Below are 20,905 nucleotides of genomic sequence, written 5' to 3' on the forward strand. Positions count from 1 at the left end.
GAGTTTCTTTGTTCTCTACACTTGCAGGTACTTCTCAGATGCCCGTGGTCATGGGGTGATCTTAGTCTTTCTTAGCCCATCCCTTTGTCTAATTGCTGTAAGACATCCTATCCCACACCCTCATGCTGAAGAGTCCTATTGTGACTTTTCAAATGACCCGTGATGTAATGTGGAATGAAGGTAGAGTCTGAGTAACACTTGGAATCCCTGGAGTACTAAAGTTTGTATCAGCCCTTGTAGCCTGCTCCCTGGAGGACCCAGCTGCCTAATCCTGAGTTCATTAGAACCTGGGCCCTGACCGGAACAGCTCACTCTGGGTGTTACTGTCCTGTGACGCACCTGCGTGGGAAGGGCCGCCCTCGCAGACATCATGTTCTCTCTAAGATTCATAGGTGGTTCTAAAATCACACCCAGGTGCTCTCCTCGAAGGGCAGGGGAAATAAAGGTTTTGAGGTTTCTGATTTGATTAATTCTGGGCTATGGGAAAGCCCTCCGATTTATATATGACAATACAAGTTGTTCTTTGTAGAAATAAAAAGTGCAAATTTTCCTTCCTAGGGAAAAAATTATTTAGTAGCATACAGCTGATATCTATGTAATTTGAGAAGTGTAAAAATGGCATTATGTTTCTCAATAGGGTCACTTGGGGACATAAAATGCCTCCTTCCTAGGGTGGTGTGAGGGTGACCATCAGTGACACCAGCCTCTTGGAGTTGGAGTCACGCTGGGCAGCCCTTGAGCCCCTGCGGAGGCTGATCTGACCCACAAGGTAGTTGTTTTTTTCAACCTCTCTCCTTTTTTTTTTCTCTTTTCTTTTTTCCTTCCTTCCTTCCTTCCTTCTTTCCTTCCTTCCTTCCTTCCCTCCCTCCCTCCCTTCTCTCCCTCCCTCCCTCCCTTCTCTCTCTCCCTCCCTCCCTTCTATCTCTCCCTCCCTCCCTCCCTTCTATCTCTCCCTCCCTCCCTCCCTCCCTTCTCTCTATCTCTCCCTCCCTCCCTTCTCTCTATCTCTCTCTCTTTCTGTCTCTCTCTGTCTCTGATGAAGTCTCCCTCTGTTGCCAGGCTGGAGTGCAGTGTGCGATCTCAGCTCACTTTAGCCTCCGCCTCCTGGGTTCAAGCCATTCTCCTGCCTTAGCCTCTTGAGTAGCCGGGACTACAGGTGTGTACCGCTATGCCCAGCTAGTTTTTGTATTTTTGGTAGAGACAGGGTTTCACCATGTTGGCCAGGATGGTCTTGATCTGACCTCATGATCCACCCACCTTGGCCTCCCAAAGTGCTGGGATTACAGGCGTGAGCCACTGTGCCTGGCCTCTTTCTTTGTTTCTTAAGAAAAGAACATTACATCATTCAATGCTTAAGATGATTTTGTAACTTTCAGCCTTAAATTTTCATATACCTTATTCCAGTTGGAAAAGTAGAATGAGGCTTTTCCTTTCTTCTGGAAAGTCTTCAAAAGGGCCATGGACCCTGTAGAAAATCCCATTTGAAAATGACAGCCTGGAAAGAGCTAAGGACAAGGGCTGGACTCCCTGATACATTAGCACCTCTAACTTGTTTCATTTACTAAATCACGGATTAATCGGGTGGTTCTCAGTGCCAAGCACATAGTCAGTGCTGGATCCCTGCTCTTGAGAAAGGATCTTTCATCGAAGGAGCCCCCAGGAGTAACCACCAGTTTACTACAAATGCCAGGGCTGGGGAGCACGTGAAAAACACCAGAGGGATGGAGTGCCACGTGACTGCAGGGTGGATCACCCAGCGTCTTCAGTGCATTGTCATTAAAATAAAATCGACTTAAAGTGGCCTAAGAGAAAAATTGTAATTTGTGGACATGACTTGGATCCTGATTCAAGTAAATCAGCTACAGAAAGTCACTTATGAGACAGGAAAATCGGGACACTAATGAGATATGAGCTTTATATTAAGGAATTGGTAATGATGTGGGGTGTGATACTGAAGTTGTGCTGATCTGTTGGTGATAAGCACTGAAGTGTTTGTGGGCAAACTAATTTTTGCTTGTGATTTGCTTTAGCCATCTTGTGAGGGCTGGGGTGTGACTGCATGTACAATTGTTGAGATTGGATGAGAAAGTATTTTTACATATAGTGAAACATCACAATTCAAATGCAAAATGGCATGGCTATGTTACAATGTGATGCAGGAGCTTGGCCCAGGAAGCCAGCTGTAGTGCTTAAACTGGGTTTTGAAGAATGAATAGGTGTTGAAAATGGAAGAATCAGTTCTTTCTGGTGTGCAAGAGGAGATACTTGGTAGGCAAAGTGTGGGTCACCTGGTGGTTTTGACCTCGAGTTCTTTCAATTCACTCATCCTTGCATTTGCTCACACAAGGTTTTTCAAGTTCCTGTTGCGTGTGTCATATGTCGTGACACATATGTATGGTTGAGTCTCACAAAAGTCCCAGGCTGCCATGGGAAAGTACCACAGACTGAGGTGCTTACACAGCAATTTATGCCCTCACAGTTCTGAAGGCTGGAAGTCCAAGATCAAGGGCTCAGCAGGGTTGGTTTCTTCTGGGGCCTTTCTCCAGCGCTTGCAGACAGATGCCTTCTTGCTGTGTCTTCATAAGGTCTTTTCAACGTGCACACCCTCCTGGTATCTCTTCCTCTCTTAAAAGGCCAGCAGTCCTATTGGATTAGGGTCCCTGATTCATTTTAACCACCTCTTTAAAGACCTTTTCACTGTCACATTATGAAGTACTGGGTGTTGAGACTTCAACATATGAATTTTTTTGGAGGTAGGGCAAGGACACAATTTAGCCCATAGCAGATGGGATGCACTTCATGGTGTAATCAGTACTATATAAGCACTTATGACTTATTCACAGAATAATGAGTACTGTCTAAGATGCTAAGGGAACTTGGAGGGAAGAGCGTTTAACTGTCCATGGAGCCATCCAGGAGGTCTTCCTGGAGGAGGGGCTTTTGAAGAGCTTCTTGAATGAGAGATCTTACCTCACCCACTGAGCACTGCTAGAAGAAGAGGGAGTGGTGGAAGGCAGTTCCCAACACTGAGGGGGAGAGGGCAGGCAGGGAAGGGAGCGAGCGGGACTCTGTTAGTAGTGGAGGGCTGTGATGTCAGAATGGGCCTGAAAGGAGAGTGGGTGCTGAGGTCTCATTCAGTGGCAGGGCCAGGGCTGAGAGGGAGGGAGAAAGAGCACACACATCCCCACTCTTCATTCCTGGGCCTCAGCTTAGCAGAGGATGCAGTGATAGAAACAGGGAAAGGAGTGTGGAATTTTATCTAAAGCTGTGCTTAATTACCAAAGTAAAACATATTATAAAAGTTCAGATGTTATAGAAATTAACCCTTCTCACCCCCGATTCTACTCCCTAAAAGTGTTAATAATAGTTGTGTCTCACCTTCTGGCCCGCTTCTTAAGATGCTATTTGAAAAAAACAAAAGTGTGTGTGTGTGAGAGAGAGAGCGAGCGAGCAAGCACACAAGCAAGCTGGCAGTAGAGGGAGGGAGAGAGAGAAAAACAGGATTTGCTTTCCTGACTCCTCACTCTTCCCTCCCTCTTTCCTTCCTTCAGAAAAAGGGGGGTTTGCACAGTTTTTATTCAGTATGCATTTTAGTGTTTACAGTTTATTTTTGTCAGCATGCTTTTTACTGGTGTTGTCACTACCTAGACAATGGCTGAATCCTGTGCATGCTTAATAAAATGCTGGTGAACCTGTTAAAAAGGCAATATGTAATTAAATTGTCTAGTTATGGCACTGAGATGTATAGCAAGGTTTTTATGTTGATTACAAAGACAAGTAGCAGTTTGGACTAGAGGAAAAACCTTAGAGAAACACCTGGGCAGACCTTTTAGAGAATGGAGTACTGCTGGATTTAAGAGGCTAGCATTAAATATATCAAGAAAACCCTTTACAAACCTTGTCACAAATTTACAAAATTTGTCACTAATCGAATTCCTATATGTTAGAATTTTTAGGCAGCAGACTGTAAATCTTAAATTTATATTAATATTTGCCCGGCTATGGGCCAGGTGCAGTGGCTCACACCTGTAATCTCAGCACTTTGGGAGGCCCAGGTGGGCGGATCATGAGGTCAAGAGATTGAGACCATCCTGGCCAACATGGTGAAACCCCGTCTCTACTAAAAATACAAAAAAGTAGCTGGGTGTGGTGGGGTGTGCCTGTAGTCCCAGCTACTCGGGAGGCTGAGGTAAGAGAATCACTTGAACCTAGGAGGCAGAGGTTGCAGTGAGCCGAGATTGCACCACTGCACTCCAGCCTGGTGACAGAGTGCAAAAAAAAAAAAAAAATGCATTATGGCTTTCTTCTATTATTTTAGTAAGCTTTGATACATTTTTGGCACCACATCATCAATTTTTGATAATGTCCATTCCCATATGTCCCAAAGATATAGGATTGGAGTTGAGTGGGGTGGTGGATGAGGGAACAGAGAGGCATTTGGTGGCCAAGTTAGGCCTACAGCCCTGTCATCCTGACCCATGGCCTTGTTGCTTCCTTTTCTGGCTGTAATTTGCTTCTCATTATATATGGATGATGTAGGGTAAACACACCTGCCAGCAATAACTTAAGCAGACCCTTAGAATGACCTTGTGTGGCAGACGTACCTGAATGTGTGTTCCCAGCTAGGGAATCCAGAAGTTGCCAGCCTGGAGATTCAGTCCTTGTCTTTAAGGAGCATCTGAGTCCCTGCAGCTTGTCTCGTGGAACAGGTGTGATTGAGGCCCTGAGTTTTGGGTTGCATGAAGGATGCCAGGTGGAGGTCCTTTGTCAGGGAGTGTGTTCAGTGAAAATGCTACATGAATTGCATGATGCTTGCAGGCGGGTGCGGGTCTCCTGTCCAGCCCGCTGCCACTGGACTCTCTCCCTTCTCTGTAAGCCCCTAATAAAACCCTGGCTGGCTCTGGATCTCTTCAGCCTCTTGAACCTGGTGCCTCCCCTAGTACAGTTAATAGGGGTTTCGCCCATCGATTGACCTACTGCTTGCTATTTCCTTCTTTTCTCAGTTCTGGAGTATTTGAAGGCAGAAATCATTATTCCAGAACCTAGAACTGACAGACCTTAAACTCTAATCAGTCACTTTTCTCCTGCAAACACCTGCCTTGGCCACTCTTTGGCTTTCTAGAGAATTAGAAATTAGTTCTGTTTTTTCCCTCGTGTTTTCATTAATCAGCTTCTAATTAACCTACTAACCAGCATTAATATATGGAATTGATATAATTTCAGCCTAGTGCAGAAAAACTTGATACTTTTACTTTTCAGGACAGCTTTATCTTGAGTGAAAAATCTAATTGCAGTGAGGCTTTTTGAAGCTGCTTCAGCTGTTTCTAAACCCTGCCTGGGAACCACTGTGCACTGGATGATTAAGAGACAGCTGAGGTCATCTCCTTGGACACCTTTGAGTTTCGGATTGATAAACACATCTAAGCTGCTCAGTATCAGTCCACATGGGTTGAACTTTGGCCAAACCACTCAAAGAAACTTGTGTAGCTTTGTTCAGTATCTGAAACCAGCCTTTTCCCACTTGAATAAGGTTCTCTTCCAAGTGGTTCACTAGGAATGAAATATAGCTAGCTCTGCCAGAATTCCCTCAGACAGCGCTGACCCCGTGCTGTGTTGGGCTGGCACTGCCGCCTCCGTACTCTGAACGGGAGATCCACTTGCAGGCCTCTGCTGGGCCTCCTTGGTCAGGGAGGGAGGAGGGAAGGGTAAGACAAGGCATTTGAGAGCTCTGAGGCCTATGCTAATCCATGCTTTTTTGTTTTTCTTTTTAAATAAAAGGAAAAGGACAATTGCCTTAGCTCTGGCTACAGACTAGGGATCTGGAGTGGTTCTCTCCATGTGTAACACAGATTAGATTTGGTTATGATACACACCCGAGTCCAACATCTGCTCATTACTGAAGCCAGGTGACACTATTCAACAAGGCTTTTTTTTTTTTTTCCCTCCTGTGCTAACATCTAAGAGAAGCAGTAACGTTGAAAACAAACTTGGTGTGTGTACATTCATGGGCTTGCTTCTTGATGTAGCCTGACATGGTTCCTAGCTGATTTGAGAGGTTGGAGCCGGCCACCCAGGGTGGCAGATACCCCAGACAGATGGCATCAGCAGATGCGATTTGCAGAATGCGACTGTCAAGGTTCTAGCCCTTTCGTGGTGATCTTTGTCAGGAGAAGGAGCACTCTGGCTTTAAAATCAGACAAGTGTGCATTCAAATTCTGGTTGTGAGACATCTGGTCATTTGGTTCCTGGGCTGAATGATAAGATGTATCTCCCAGGGTTGCTGTGACGATTCTTGCAGCTGATGCTAAGGTGAAGCCACGGCGAGTGTCTCACTGGAATCAGAACATGTTCTTCTCCCAGCCTGTCACCGTTTCTATCATTTGGACAGTGGGAGAGGAGGGATTCCCTGAGCCTCCTGAAGGCTGACTTTAGTCTCTTGGTGACTTCAGTTTTCTGGACAAATAGGCCACCTCAAAAACAGGTTGAGTGACAGCACCCAGTGGTATTATGTCCACAAAGCTCACAGCCTTGGGCTGTCATCAGAACAAGGCTCATAACTCCCTTCTTAACCCTGAACTGCTCCTCTGGAGTTGCCTTAGTCAGGGACCTCATCACTGGACTTCCCTCTCAGATGCTGATAGTTGGAGGAAACCAGCCCAGGTGCAGCAGAAGACACTGCGCCAGCACCACACAGGCATTGGGGATGCAGAATCGGCCACGACTGCTTGCAGGGGGGCATCTCACTGCCTGGCCCTGCGCCTGGGACAAGTAGTGTGGCCTGGCAGTGCTCAGCACACTCGCCCAACACTGCAGCTAAGTGCTGCTGAAAACACTGGAAAACCCTGGGTTGTGGCTTTAGTGGAAAAAAAGCAAATTTTAAGGTTACAGAGAATTCAGATAATCCCTTGGATTTTGCAGTGGTAAAATTTTGTAGTATTAAGGATCCACATTAAAATGAAGAGATACGTACGGTATCAGTGTTAATTGCCTTCCAGCCCTCCCTCCTTTATTTCTAAAGGGAGATGCACGTAGTGCTAGTGAAGTACTTTTAGAGAAAAGCACACACTCCTTCTGTATATTCCTGTCCTGAAGCTGGCTGTAGAAAATCCTTGAATCCTTTGGTGAGGGCCTTCTACAGTCCAAGTGACCGTATAGGTGTTTATCTTTCAGGCTGATACTGTTTTTTGCACAAAAGTGTATACTTTCCTGATGGATTTCGATCACTGATTATAATTAAGACCTGCTTTGAAATGCTCTTCCTTAACACAGGTTTTGAATAAGCTAAGAGCCCCATGTTAAACTTGGGCAGTCTTCATTTAAACCCAGAGAGAGAGATGTTGACCACCATGTTTTATTCTACTTAGGGTGTACACTTAACACATTGACAGTTTGTCAGTGGAATGCTTTTCTCAAGGAAAACATCGCATGCAACCTTCACGTTTTACACTTGAATCCCAGATGGCCACTGGCACCTTTCAATGGATTTTCAGTAGCCTCACTTTTGTTGGAGCTGCTGCATTAGTTCAAGTCCTGCTCCGTTCTGTCTGGCTTTTCCTTTACTGATTGTGCTTGGAGAGGCCGTGTTCTGACTTGCCCACTGTGCCTAGTATCAAAGGACTCAAGTTCTAAATCCAGCTCATTGTTCTTTTGCGGGGTCTGGTAGAGAAGCTGCTCAGGCTTTTGGTTTGCTGTTGGCATAAGGAGTCTCTCCTCTGTTCGCATGCAGAAGAGATTAGAGATGTGCAAAGCCCACTCATCCGGAGTCCAAGGCCTAAGTGATTCCTCACTCTCCAGTCGGTTGGGAAAAACCTTTAGTGTCACTGAGAAAGTGAACTCCTCTGTACATTTGGGCATTAGAATCCATCCTGGCAGTGTATCAGAAGGATTAAATCATATTACTCATGAGACACAGGGCACACAGGGGGGAGGCCTGTATTTGGACAGCCCAAACAACTGCATAAAACAATTCCTTGCATTTGCCTGTGGAAGGCAGACTCTGGGCAAATTCACTTCCCAGTTAAAATCTTAACAACACAACTTAACGTTTATAATAGCCCCTGAAAATGACACATACAGAGGTGGTGTTTGGGGCATGGTACCCAGCACATTGCCCTTTGCTGATGTTCAGTGGTGTCAGCATGAGAAACAAGAACTCTTGGTCAAGAACTGAGTTCAGATTCCAATACTTCCATCTCGAGAGGACCTGTCATTTTATTATAAACACTTAACAGAGAGAAGGGCAATCTGCCTAGTATACGTTTGAACTTCTTGCCCAAAGATGTATTCCCACTGTGTTTGGCCATCACCTTTTCCTTGCCTTAAATTATATCTGTATTAAAATGATGCGGCCTTTAAAACAGTGCTAGAGAATACATAAAAAGGAATTAATTTTTAAATCAAAATTTATGAACTTGCCTTATAACATTTTTATGATAGCCCTATTTGAATTATCTTCTTATCTTTGACTAAAATAGAATTCGATTTTTCTATGGGGTATTTAACATTTTGGATCATAATCATGCTAGGGATGAATTAATAGATCTTCTGTGAGTGAACTGTCAAGACAGATCCCCATTGGGTTTGAAATGTAATTAAAAATGTCAGTGAACTCACTTGAAGTCCACAGAGTGCTCCAGGGTCCCCTCGAAAACGTTAGTCAAGGACTGAAAATACTTACCAAGTGCAGTGAACATAACGCAGCTGCCAGCTCTCCACAACCAGGAGGGCGCTGGTCACCTTTGTCAGGTGCCTCTCATCTTAACTTCCTTCTAGTTTTGGAGTGTTCGTCTCAGAAGTCTTGAAACTAGGGGTGCTTTTTAGCCCAAGGCTATGGGTCCGGTTGGTGGCTTCTCAACAAATGGCTGGTGCAACAGACCTCCAAGAGAGGAACGAGTCTCTAAACAATATCCATGCCCTTTGTAACCCTTCTCCGTCATTAGACTCTCAGACTGGCCACCTTTCCAATGGGCAGACTCCCTTTTATTTCTGGGAGGCTTTTAAAGGTGGGGCTCATTGGGAGGAGGAAGTCTGGAAGAGACTGGGAGCTCAGGTCCCTTGATTATGGGCTGGCTGTTCCCCCACACCCCATCACCTCCTTCCACCTGCTGTTCACCGGGTGTGTGGTTGGCCCTCCCCAACCCGAGTGTCGGAGCTTGCCCAGGGAATGAAAGGTGGGAAGAGGGAGTACATGTGTGTTGATGGAGGTCTTTAGGCACAGAGCAGCTTTAATCTGGGATATATTTAAAACATTGGTTTCAAAATACATAAAATTAGCCAGGGGTGGTGGCATGCCTGTGGTCCCAGCTAATGGGGAGACTTAGGCAGGAGGATCACTTGAGCTCAGGAGGTGCAAGTTGCCGTGAAGTAAGATCGTACAACCACACTCCAGCCTGGGTGACAGAGGAGACCCTGTCTCAAAAAAATAAATAAATAACAAAAAAACCCATTAGTTTTAGGCAAATAAATAACCAGTTATTTTTAAAAGTGGTTACTTAAAATCAAAGAAGCAAGCAGACCTAATATATGCTTCTTTCTTTTTAGATTTCATGTGTTCTTTGTATACAAGCGACGTCCCAGATTATAATTCTCTGCTGAGATTTGAGTTGGATTTGAGGATTTGGAGAATCCCTGCAGCTTTGTAACTTCAGAGGTGTAATTAGCTGAAAACATCATCGTTTTGAAGAGTTCTGCGTTTTGCCAGTCACCTCTCAACTGTGTGCCAAAGGTAAGTCTGCAGTTTTCTGCTTAAAACAGAAGTTGCAGCTTTTTGCTTCAAATGCTTAATTTGGACAGTAAGTTTAGTAAAATATCAGTCAGTGTAGCCTTGATTTGTTGAATCACATTAAATTTAAGCTTTCAATGAGGGAGAAAATTAGATTATCTCTGTTCCTGCTTTAGTGTGTGATGGTTCTGAGTATGTAGCCAGGAAGCAGGATGGTAGACACCTACAACCTGTAAGATGGTACAGGTACCTCCACACTCAGATATTACTGACTCTTGAATCCATAACGAATCCTGGTCCCTGTATTCTGTATGGGACAGGGAGTATAAGGATAAATAACCACTTTTCTGGTGCTTTCAGTCTAGGAAAAGTTGGATTCCAGCTTTGATGCTGAGAAGATAAATCTGTGTCAAAGGATAGCTGGGCATGGTGGCGTGCACATGTAGTCTCAGCTATTCGGGAGGCTGAGGCAGGAGAATTACTTGAACCTGGGAGGCGGAGGTTGCAGTGAGCCAAGGTCACACCACTGCACTCCAGCCTGGGCAACACGGCAAGACTTGGTCTCAAAAAAAAAAAAAAACCTACATCAAATGAGATGCAGACAGATGAAGGATTCTCAGGAAGGTTTTACCTGTTCATATGAAAAACCTACTTGTGTATGTTACAATAAAATCATAACTGTGATGCAACATGTGGATTCTGGGACCCAGTGGTGCTATCACCACAGGCACCAGACAAAAACATGTCACTGTGCAACAAAAATATTTCTTAGCCCTAACATCTTAAGACATTTAACTTAAAATATGAATTGCTGTTTGTAGTCCAGTTAATCCGGTGTTCTCTTTCTGGCTGGGCAGTAAGAAGTGCTTTATGAGAAGACACATTTTCACCTCCAGAGCTTTGTCTCAGAATGAACTGCAAGAATAACACTAGCTTTCCTTAAAAACTTTTAATTTGCTCAAAAAAATTTACAAGAAAAAAAACAACCCCATCAACAAGTGGGCAAAGGATATGAACAGACACTGCTCAAAAGAAGACATTTATGCAGCCAAAAGGCACATGAAAAAATGCTCATCATCACTGGCCATCAGAGAAATGCAAATCAAAACCACAATGAGATACCATCTCACACCAGTTAGAATGGTGATCATTAAAAAGTCAGGAAACAACAGGTGCTGGAGAGGATGTGGAGAAATAGGAACACTTTTGCACTGTTGGTGGGACTGTAAACTAGTTCAACCATTGTGGAAGACAGTGTGGCGATTCCTCAGGGATCTAGAACTAGAAATACCATTTGACCCAGCCATCCCATTACTGGGTATATACCCAAAGGAATATAAATCATGCTGCTATAAAGACACATGCACACGTATGTTTATTGCAGCACTACTCATAATAGCAAAGACTTGGAACCAACCCAAATGTCCAACAATGATGGACTGATTAAGAAAATGTGGCACATATACACCATGAAATACTATGCAGCCATAAAAAGTGATGAGTTCATGTCCTTTGTAGGGACATGGATGAAGCTGGAAACCATCATTCTCAGCAAACTATCGCAAGGACAAAAAACCAAACACTGCATGTTCTAACTCATAGGTGGGAATTGAACAATGAGAACACTTGGACACAGGAAGGGGAACACCACACACTGGGGCCTGTTTTGGGGTGGGGGGAGGGGGGAGGGATAGCATTAGGAGATATACCTAATGTAAATGACGAGTTAACGGGTGCAGCACACCAACATGGCACATGTATACATATATAACAAACCTGCACGTTTTGCACATGTACCCTAGAACTTAAAAGTGTAATAAAAATATATATATATAAAAAGATTTTATTCCTTATACTGTAAGATTTTTCCTGTACATCTTACTATCAGCTTATAAGAAATATATATTTCCAACATGGTATATTTAACAGAACAAAATAGAAAAGATTGTTAAATCAAGTATGAAAGCAAACCAAATTTTAATCAAAGCATAACCTAAATTAGTTTTGGTGTCCAACTTTTAGGTGATATGTCTTCTGGTTGTATGAAGAGCAAATGAGAATATTACAGTGGACATTTGTATAAAAAAACTTTAATTTGCTTCTATTATTTGCAGATTGTTTTAAAGTAATCTTGAAACTATCATGTTGGACTATGGAATCTTTTGGTGTGGTGGTTTCTGGAAATTTTCTCCTTTAATATTAAAAGTTAGAATTTCCTCTTACTTGGTCTGCTACTACTACAAACACATCTTGTGAATATGTTCTTTCTCTTCGACCACCTTAAAAGAAAAATCTCTTGGAACCTTTTCAATTTCAGTTATGCCCCTTTGATGTGTGGTATTTAGAACAGCATAAGATTAATATGCAATAAGGATAGGATTAAGTGTCTTAGTGTTCTCGTCGTGTTACGCTTTATGTTATCTTTTGGAGAAAATGCCATATTGTCCCGTTGATTTAGGGTGTTGTGTGTTGTGATTTCCAGAGCTAGCTCCTGGTCGGCAGTCGGGGGTTGGCACTCACACTGCATACCTGACTTCACCCCAGCCATTGTTGGCTCTTCTAGCTTTGGGTCCCCTCATGCATTCATAGGGCATTCCCAGGTCTCTCTTCCAGACCTTGTGCAAGACAGACACCATCGGGGTGTTCCTGTTCCAAACCTAGGAGGTTTATCTTACATAAGAAAACTTCTCAAACCCATGGTAACTCCGTTTTCTTTAAAAAAAAAAAAAAAAAAGTCATTGGGGTAGAACTTTTTAAAACAGTCATTTGCAAATGCAGTCATGTATCAATCCACTTGTCAGATTTCAAGGGAATGGAGTATAAGCTAGAAATGACAGATCTTCTGATTGGATCATCAGAACTCATTAATAATTTATTAGCATCAGAGTCTGTCACTACTTCTTTAGAAAGGTCTTGATCGTCAGTGACATTAGCAGACCTGAAGCTGTTGTTGGTGCTGGTTGAGAAGGTGGTGAGGCAGGGGAGTGTGGCATGCTCACCCAGCAGCTCAGTCTGCAGGAGCTCCCAACACACGGGTGCCACGTAGACAAGACGGTACATGGAGACCATGAGAGCTGGCTGGCTTACAAAAATATCTACCCATGTAATTTTAAAGGATTACTTTTATTTCATAAGTTTATAAGTTCCACACAAAACCTTGATTCACCTATTAAAATTTACTTTTGTGGTTTAGAAAAATGTTCATTTGGAAAATCGTGAGATGTAGCCATTCATATAATAAACATCTATTGTGAACACCCCACCTGTATTTTGGGCTATTTTTCTTGCAGTGACTGTTGTAGCAGTTAAAAAAAAAATAGATAAAATATAGTCCCAGCCACCTTTCCCCATGCCCTTTCAGGATGGGACCCTGACAGTTTGGGACTGTGCTAACTGCTGTAGTGGAGGTTCTTACAGCCAGTCCCTAATACTTGAGGCAGGGATCAACTGACCCTTTAGGGGACAGTATGGAAAAGCCAGGAGATGTTACGTTGGGAATAAGTTTTAAAGAATGAGGAGACGTGTACAGAGGTATAATGTGTTTCCTTGGAACAGGGCAGGCTGATTGGACCAGCTGGGCCATGGTTCCTGGAGACTGCAGGTCATTCAGACAATACTGGCTTGGGGACCAGGCATTTGCCATTTGGTCGGTGGTCCTTGAAGTGCCAACAGGGAAAGCAACAGCTCGGTCAGCCATACACTTCGGCATGTCAGAAAGAAGTGAAATAAATGCTGGCCTGGTAGAACAGTAAGCGGGATGTCAGCCTTGGATGCATTTCCCAGTTATTGGACACTCAAGGTTTGCGTGCCTGGGGCTGGGCTGAGAGCAGCTTGAGGAGGATGGCGGTGTCTGAGGGCTTGAGTAACGTCTCAGCCCATTTCCACGTGGTGCATTTCCCTACCCTGTTTTCTGGTCTCCCCATTGAAGTTAAGGAACAAAGTCTTGGGACCCTGCGGCTCTGACCCTGCCTTCTTTGGGGGAGCGGAGACCATAGGAAGAGCCAGAAGGCCACCAGAGTTGTCATTTTGGCAAACGCATAATCTGCACTTAATTCTTCCCGTGTGTACTTGAAAAGTGACTGTAATTGATTGTTGGAGGCTGGCCATTACTAGGGACGGAAGATGCAAAGGGCCTTGTCTGCTATGCTGCAGATTCGTTTGACTTTTGAAAAGCTTTTGGAGGCTTTTTCATGACAGACATGTCCTAATGGACAGAAGGATGGTGTAGTGGGATAGGAAGGACAGTGGCTTAGATGACACAACTCAAGTTTGAGTAAACAGGACGGGATTTCACAAACCGAGTCAGTTGGTGATGTGCATGTCCAGCGTGTAAATGTCAGCAGTGAGCCTACACACATCTTTTCCATTTTGTGATAGAAGCAGCAGCAGCTGTGTTTAACTGAGCAGTGAGCATGAGAAGATGAAACATTGAGCCTGTCACTCTTACATCCATAAAAACGCTATCCAGTAATATTTATTTAACTACTAAAGTTTACTACTTCATATTATCCTCAATTTATTTCAGAACAATTTTTCCTAGGGTGTGTACACTTGGAAAAGTCATCTGGAATTTACTACTCACTTTTATCATATCCTGGTTGTTTGGTATTTTGGAGATTGCTGGTAGCTGACTTTGCCCCCAACAGGTTATTTAGAAAGATTTTTTACACGCAAAGCCCAGTGCTCAGTCATTAAGATTTTAGGGCTAAAGCTTCTGTTGAGGGTGTAGCTCTGGAGGTCTCATGATACCTGGAAGTAACTTGTGGAGTTTCCGCCCAAATAAATGGGCCCATCTCAGCCTCCTTCTGCCGCACTCTGGACCCCTGGGTGATCTGGGGGAACAGTCTCTGCAGTTTGGACTGATTGTTTCTTCTGTACAGTGTACCGAATATAAAGAGATGGCCACAGCCTTTAATGCTGCGGATAAATCTGTGGTAATTGGTTAAATAATTGCCCAGTAAGTATTGACAGCTGCTGGGAAAACATTGCCACATTGATTCCACAGTGCCCCGGTGGTGCAGTCAGTGGAAGCAGCTGTAATCTATGGGGTCATCGTTGGCAGGTGCCCGGCACAGGGCTTGTCACTGCTTGTATATTATCTCTAGTCGCAAATGCAGATGTTATTGCCCCCATTTAATAGATGGGGACACAAAGCCTCAGGAGAGGTTAAGGAGACTGTCCACAGCTGTGCATGCTCAACTGTGTGACTCTGGAGAGTCCCCTTAACCTCTCCTGTGGCTTTGTGTCCCCATCTATTAACAGCAGCCCGGGAAGCAGAAGGTCTGTTGCTTACCAGCCCACGTTCCTTCTGCTTCCCGGGCTGCTGTCTCTGACACATGATGGTGGTGACATGGTAACGACCCATTCTCCAAGTGCTTACCTTAAACTGAAATGTGAGGCTCTGGGAGATTAAATGACTTGGCCGGGGCTCCTAGGTGGCAGAGCAGGCTGGGAGCTCCCATTTCCTGACCCAAAAAAGCCTTTCTTTCTTACTGTACCAGGAATTTCGTGAGATTTATTTTTTTCTCCCCTAGAAAAATCTCCTGCAACTAAGTGCAGTTTGGAGAGTTCTTTGGAAACGTAAGGGTGTGTGAAGGAAGACTTTGGGAGGTTTGAGAAGGGGGCACCAGCTGGGAACCTGAATCCCCCGAGGGCCTCTGCTGCTCCTGAAGCACCAGGATCAGCTTAACAGCTCCTGTGGCTTCCAGCTCCACCCATGGAGGCCCAGGATGGTGCTCAGAGTCGCCTTGTGTTGGGGATCCCCAGCTTAACATCAGACCTGCCAAAAGAGAAGTTCTCTGTACAGGCCAGGGGACTTTGTATTTAACAGCCACTTCCTGTGTGCTGAGGCCATCTCTAAGGTCCCTGACGCTTCCCACAGCGCCCCTGTTCAGGGCGAAACATCATAAAATTGTGATTTAACGTTCTTGCATAGTCAATAACATAATTATTTTCTCTTAGTTGTGGTGGTGATCAAGGTTATGCCAAGCATTTTTTCTTTTCTGTCATAGCTGATACACCCTAGCAGTGTGGCTTCCTAGAAAGCTGAAGAAACAAAAACAAAAAAGCCAATTCTGTACCCCTCGACCTTCTTTTCCTTAGATAGAAACTGAATACATAACATTCCATTCATTTTTCAGTGATTCTCTGAATTGTACCTTAGAATTTACAAAGGAATTTTCGTGAATTCTCTTTAATGCCAGGTGATATGGATAGTCCTCCCCTGAATTGTATAGCAGAAAATGAGCCCAGAGAGGTTACTTTCCTTGCCTAGTACGGCCCAGCGTTGGATGGTGACCTGTGTCTCACACCTGAATGTTGGATTCCAGATACTCTGTCCTTGTCCTTAAGAGGCCCTGGGCCGGCCGTGTGGCGGATGTGTATGTAAGAGAACAGCATTAAATAAACAGGCCACACAGAGCTTGAAATGAGCGCATTGCTGCAGTTGAGGTTCTCAAACTAGGAAAAGCAGAGAGAAATTTTTCTTGACTTCCTCCAGAAAAACAAAAAGTCCTCTCATGCTGTGTGTGTGTGTGTGTGTGTGTGTGTGTGTGTGTGTGTGTCACAATGGAGGGGGTGTTGTAGGGCTTTTAGTAAACTGGACCTTGAACAGGTAATTACAAACAAGCCCCAGTAGGAGAATACTTTCTGGGATTACCACTGGGATGTACAGAACTGAAGGGAACACGTGGAACTGCAGAAGTGTCATTCAAGTTGGGCGTGTCTGGTGGAGGGTGTGGGAGGGGAGTGTGTCCCAGTGCCCTTGTGCTCCCCATTCCCGTGCTGCAGGTGCCTCACTGGACACACCAAAAGCATTTTGAGTTTGAGATTTCTGCCTATCAGAATCAATTTTCCGGTTGACTTTTATTATAACTAACGTTGAAATGGTTTCTTTAGAAATGTTCCTGGCTCCAGGATGTCAAAATGGTTATAAAACATGATGAATAAATCAGATCATAAGAGGTCACAGTTTATGGGGAATGAATTCTGGGACCATGTTAACAAAGAGTATATTAACAAGATGCCAGTTTTGGATGGAAACGAATAACCCTTAGTGCTTGTTGGGGCAGAAGGTACCCAGGCCTTCCTGTAAGGTCCGTGGCCATGGAGGCAGGCCTTGTATCTCCCTGGAAAGTAAAATATGCCTTCTCAGCTTCTCAGAGTCACACCTGACCAACAGTCACACTGACAAGTTAATTGGTGAGATTTGAGCTTGATTGCTGCCTGCAAGCAGTAAGGATGATCCTAATTATGAATCTGCTCTGGCTGTTTCGTGATCAAACGCCTTGTTCCGTGACCTTCCCGTGTGAAGGTCTACCCAGGTCACAGTGTGAACAACCCATGGTCCGGAGCAGTCCCTGGCCGGCGTGAACTCCAAGTCAGGAGTCTGCAGTGGTGACGTCCCTCTTGAGTGTCCTCAGGTAGGCTCTCCCTTACAGGGATGTGGCCAGGGACAGGGAGAGGCTCTAGAGTTGACGTTTTTAGTAGTTTTTCTAAATTGTTTATCTTTTTTGCCAACATTCCATTTTGGGTTTTGCTTGTGATTGTTACCTTATTTCACATGTGTGAGTGCCCCCTCCCTTTATTGACCACATAGCAGAATGCCCCGTCCGTAAATGTCACGTTTCCATAGAGTACTGCTTTCCACTTGGGCCCCTGACGGTGCTCACAGGGAATGAGTGGGAAATGCAGCAGATCTGACAGTGAGAGCCCAGTCACTCCTCAGTCAGACTTGTTTTATTTAGTGCCTTCCGGAATATGCCACTTATGATCTTACCCAGAGGTTATGTTGAAGATTTTGTTGTGTTCACAAAGACCAACGTCAGAAGTACTTGGGAAAGGCAGGGATCCCAGGAGCCAGAGACAGGACTGTCTTCCCTGCCTGGAGTCTGGGTCTGGTACAGGCCTTTCTTGTGGGAGAAGCTAAATGTAACCGTATCTTCCAACCTGAGAGCTCATTTAGTAACGTTTTTGTAATACATTGGTCATTTTCCCAGTCGTTAAGTACCACGTCTCGGCGGCGTGTGCTTAGAACAGAGGTCTCTGGAGGAATCACTGGGGCGTGCTCATGTGTGGGTGTTGTGCTTTCATGGCTGGGTTTTAACTTCCGGCCTTGGTTCCTTTGGCAGTGACATGGAGGGAGAGGGTAGATGAAGTTGGGTGTGTGAACTTGGAATTCTAAGGACAGTCCTGCACAGGCAGGACAGTAACACAGACCTGGTTGCCATGCCCCACAGAATTCAGTGGGAAAACATGCTCAGCATTTGTGGGACACCAGTGTCACCCTCTCCACCACTGCAGTAAGATCAGGAGCCCATCTCCCACCTGAGTCTCAATTCCAGGAAAGAGCATCAGGGATTCCCCCAAGCTGCAGGCAAGTGATGCTGCCCACATTTGTTGGCTGAGTGGGGCCAGGTATGGAGGGAGATGAGTGGGCACTCGAGGTGCTTGGGGACGGAGTGGAGGTAGACATGGCCTGGCTCCTGCCTCCTCCTCTCCCTCCAGGCTTTGGAGCTCTGTGAGTCCATGCCTACCAGCTGTAATGTAATGGGGATCATCTGGGATGCTTGGGGGTGACTTAGGATGCTCAGGGTCCACTCCCCACTAATCTCGAGTGGGCAGACAGGACCTGGGCATCTGTGCTGTTAACGCTGATCTTCCCTAAAGGGGCCTTCTACTCTAAGGGCTTTCATTTGCGAGTTTTCATGTATTCACACCTGAGATAATTCATCATAAATTCAAAAATCCCATTCCGTTACTAGTGTTTAGTTCTGATCTTTGATCCTTACAGCGAGCTGACCCTCAGTGGAGACTTGTCTTATGCTCAGAAATTTAACAAAATATAATGGAGAAGTAGGAAGCAGCACTGGGCACTGCAGCGCTTTGGAACATAGCAGATATGGGAACGCTAATAATTTCTTCCCACACCTGGTGTTTTCCACTTTGGAGATTCTGGCTTGGGGGATGGTGGGTTCCTGAAAAAGGGTCAGCAGAGAAATCACATAGCAATGTCCATGTTATCACATAGCAGAGAATGATAATTTCTCTTGTTTTATTAGAGATTTTTTACGGAGCCCTTATTTTTGCCCAGCAGGGCTATTATCTGGGTCACCAGCAAGGCACAGAGGGATGGGAAATGTTTGTAACTTTACAGAAGGCAGTAAATATACACTCTGCTCTGTCAGTTACAGTATAACCCAAAAACCTTTGTAAGGAGTTTTGTTACATAACCAGACCCTCTAGTCCTCAGGACTGGAGTTCCTTATGCAGTCATAGTGTCCTGGTGATCCGTCAGGTTTGGAGTTCCTGGCTCCATTAGATCTTGATGGAGATTCTGATTAACCAAAGTGATTGCATTACATCCTTTATAACTCTAGAGCAGATTGCTAGGATGGTCTACATCCCTTAGAAGGCTGATACTGTGTATTAGTCTGTTTTCCTACTGCAATAAAGAACTATGCGAGACTGGGTTATTTATACAGGAAAGAGATTTAATTTACTCACAGTTCAGCATAACTGGGAGGCCTCAGGAAACTTAATCATGGCAGAAGATGAAGGGGAAGCAAGGCACCTTCTTCACAGGGTGGCAAGAAGAAGTTCTGAGCAAAGCGGGAAGAGCGGCTTATAAAACCATCAGATCTCCTGAGAACTCAGTATCACCAAGACAGCATGGGGGAAACCGCCCCCATGACTCAATTACCTCCACTGGTCTGTCCATTAACACATGGGGATTATAGGGATTACAATTCAATTCAAGATAAGATTTGGGTGGGGACACAAAGCCTAACCCCACCACCCTTCGAGGACCAATTCTCTCTGCTCAGGTAGTTTGCTTGTAGTGTGGATGATATGTTAGTTGGGAGGCCTGTGATTGTGACTATCTCAGGAATGGAAAACTTAAAGAGACTTATATATAGATTACCTGATTGGTTATGTTTTTTAATGCAAAAATGTAACTAATAAAGCAAGAATTTCTTATTCCCAAATTAGAGCCAAATTCCCAATGGATTGCATGGTAAAGGGCTCTGGATTTGGGTTCTAGGCCCCCTGGATTTGGGTCATTACTGAGTTATCCTCACAGTATCCTTCTCTCTCAATTCCAAGTTCTGGCCAAGTAAGTATCCTTTCCTCTGAGCAGCTTCCCTAGCTCCTCTGCCTTATCCTGGCACATTTTAGAGACATTTTATATATGTGTATATATATATATGTATGTGTGTGTATATATATGTTGAAAATAAAAGGATGGAAAAAGATAGACCATGCAAATACTAATCAAAAGAAAGCAGAAATTGTTATATTAATATCAGATAAAGAACTTTTAAAAGTAGAGAGTTACCAGGGACATAAAAGAGTGTTCATCAAGAAGACATAGCATTCTTTTTTATTTTTTATTTTTTATTTTTTTTTGAGATGGAGTCTTGCTCTGTTGCCCAGGCTGGAGTGCAGTGGCACGATCTCGGCTCACTGCAAGCTCTGCCTCCCACGTTCACACCATTCTCCTGCCTCAGCCTCCTGAGTAGCTGGGACTACAGGTGCCTACCACCACGCCCGGCTAATTTTTGGTATTTTTAGTAGAGACGGGGTTTCACCATGTTAGCCAGGATGGTCTCGATCTCCTGACCTCGTGATCTACCCGCCTTGGCCTCCCAAAGTGCTGGGTTTACAGGCGTGAGCCACCGCGCCTGGCTGACATAGCATTCTTAAGTATGCATGCACCAAACAACAGAGCTGTGAAATAAGAAGTAAAAACTGCTAGAACTACAAGGAGAAACAGACATACCCATGATTATACTTGAAGATCTCCATACTCTTCTCAACAGTTGATAGAACAACCACACAGAAAGTACACAGAAAGTCAGCAGGGCTATAGGAACACTCACCACCATCAATTAATATTATCTAATTGACATTTATAACACTCCACCCAAAAGTAGCAGGATACACATTCTTTTTAGGCACCCACAGAGCATTTGCCATGTTAGGGCATGTCCTGGGCCAAAAAACAAACAGTAACAAATTTCAAAGCATTGAAATCATACAGAGTGTCTTCTATCTTTTAATAGAATTTCTTCTTTTTGCTTTAAAATGAGTCTCAAATGGTCACACATATTGTATGATTCCATTTATATAACATTCTCAAAATGACAAAATTACAGAGATAGAGAGCAGGTTAGTGTTTACAAG

The 20,905-nt window shown here is 44.3% G+C and overlaps 1 protein-coding gene across 12 annotated transcripts in view, besides 5 other annotated features; it reads left to right on the plus strand.

The window, feature by feature from the left end:
* NCK2 (NCK adaptor protein 2) overlaps positions 1-20,905 on the plus strand; it is a 149,820-nt gene that overhangs the window by 62,437 nt on the left and 66,478 nt on the right. For 11 of the 12 annotated variants that reach the window (XM_017005105.2, XM_017005103.2, NM_003581.5 and 8 more), the window contains one exon: positions 9,541-9,724. The gene's annotated coding sequence lies outside the window, so the exon portion shown is untranslated. Of the gene's footprint in view, positions 1-1,399; positions 2,269-9,540; positions 9,725-20,905 lie in introns of those variants that run through there. The other variant, XM_047446018.1, reaches the window with a different exon arrangement.
* Positions 270-359: an enhancer, noted in NCBI's record as "active region_16330". NCBI's record gives its function as "activates an Ori minimal core promoter by ATAC-STARR-seq in GM12878 lymphoblastoid cells {active_cell/tissue: GM12878}" and the evidence as "EXISTENCE:reporter gene assay evidence [ECO:0000049][PMID:35858748]".
* Positions 2,201-2,310: an enhancer, noted in NCBI's record as "active region_16331". NCBI's record gives its function as "activates an Ori minimal core promoter by ATAC-STARR-seq in GM12878 lymphoblastoid cells {active_cell/tissue: GM12878}" and the evidence as "EXISTENCE:reporter gene assay evidence [ECO:0000049][PMID:35858748]".
* Positions 5,112-5,612: an enhancer, noted in NCBI's record as "H3K4me1 hESC enhancer chr2:106428458-106428958 (GRCh37/hg19 assembly coordinates)". NCBI's record gives its function as "activates a minimal SCP1, AML or CMV promoter by ChIP-STARR-seq in naive H9 embryonic stem cells {active_cell/tissue: H9 hESC(naive)}" and the evidence as "EXISTENCE:reporter gene assay evidence [ECO:0000049][PMID:30033119]".
* Positions 5,613-6,113: an enhancer, noted in NCBI's record as "H3K4me1 hESC enhancer chr2:106428959-106429459 (GRCh37/hg19 assembly coordinates)". NCBI's record gives its function as "activates a minimal SCP1, AML or CMV promoter by ChIP-STARR-seq in naive H9 embryonic stem cells {active_cell/tissue: H9 hESC(naive)}" and the evidence as "EXISTENCE:reporter gene assay evidence [ECO:0000049][PMID:30033119]".
* Positions 15,401-15,450: an enhancer, noted in NCBI's record as "active region_16332". NCBI's record gives its function as "activates an Ori minimal core promoter by ATAC-STARR-seq in GM12878 lymphoblastoid cells {active_cell/tissue: GM12878}" and the evidence as "EXISTENCE:reporter gene assay evidence [ECO:0000049][PMID:35858748]".

This window comes from Homo sapiens, chromosome 2 (assembly GCF_000001405.40).
Source record: "Homo sapiens chromosome 2, GRCh38.p14 Primary Assembly".
Classification (NCBI taxonomy): Eukaryota; Metazoa; Chordata; class Mammalia; order Primates; family Hominidae; genus Homo; species Homo sapiens.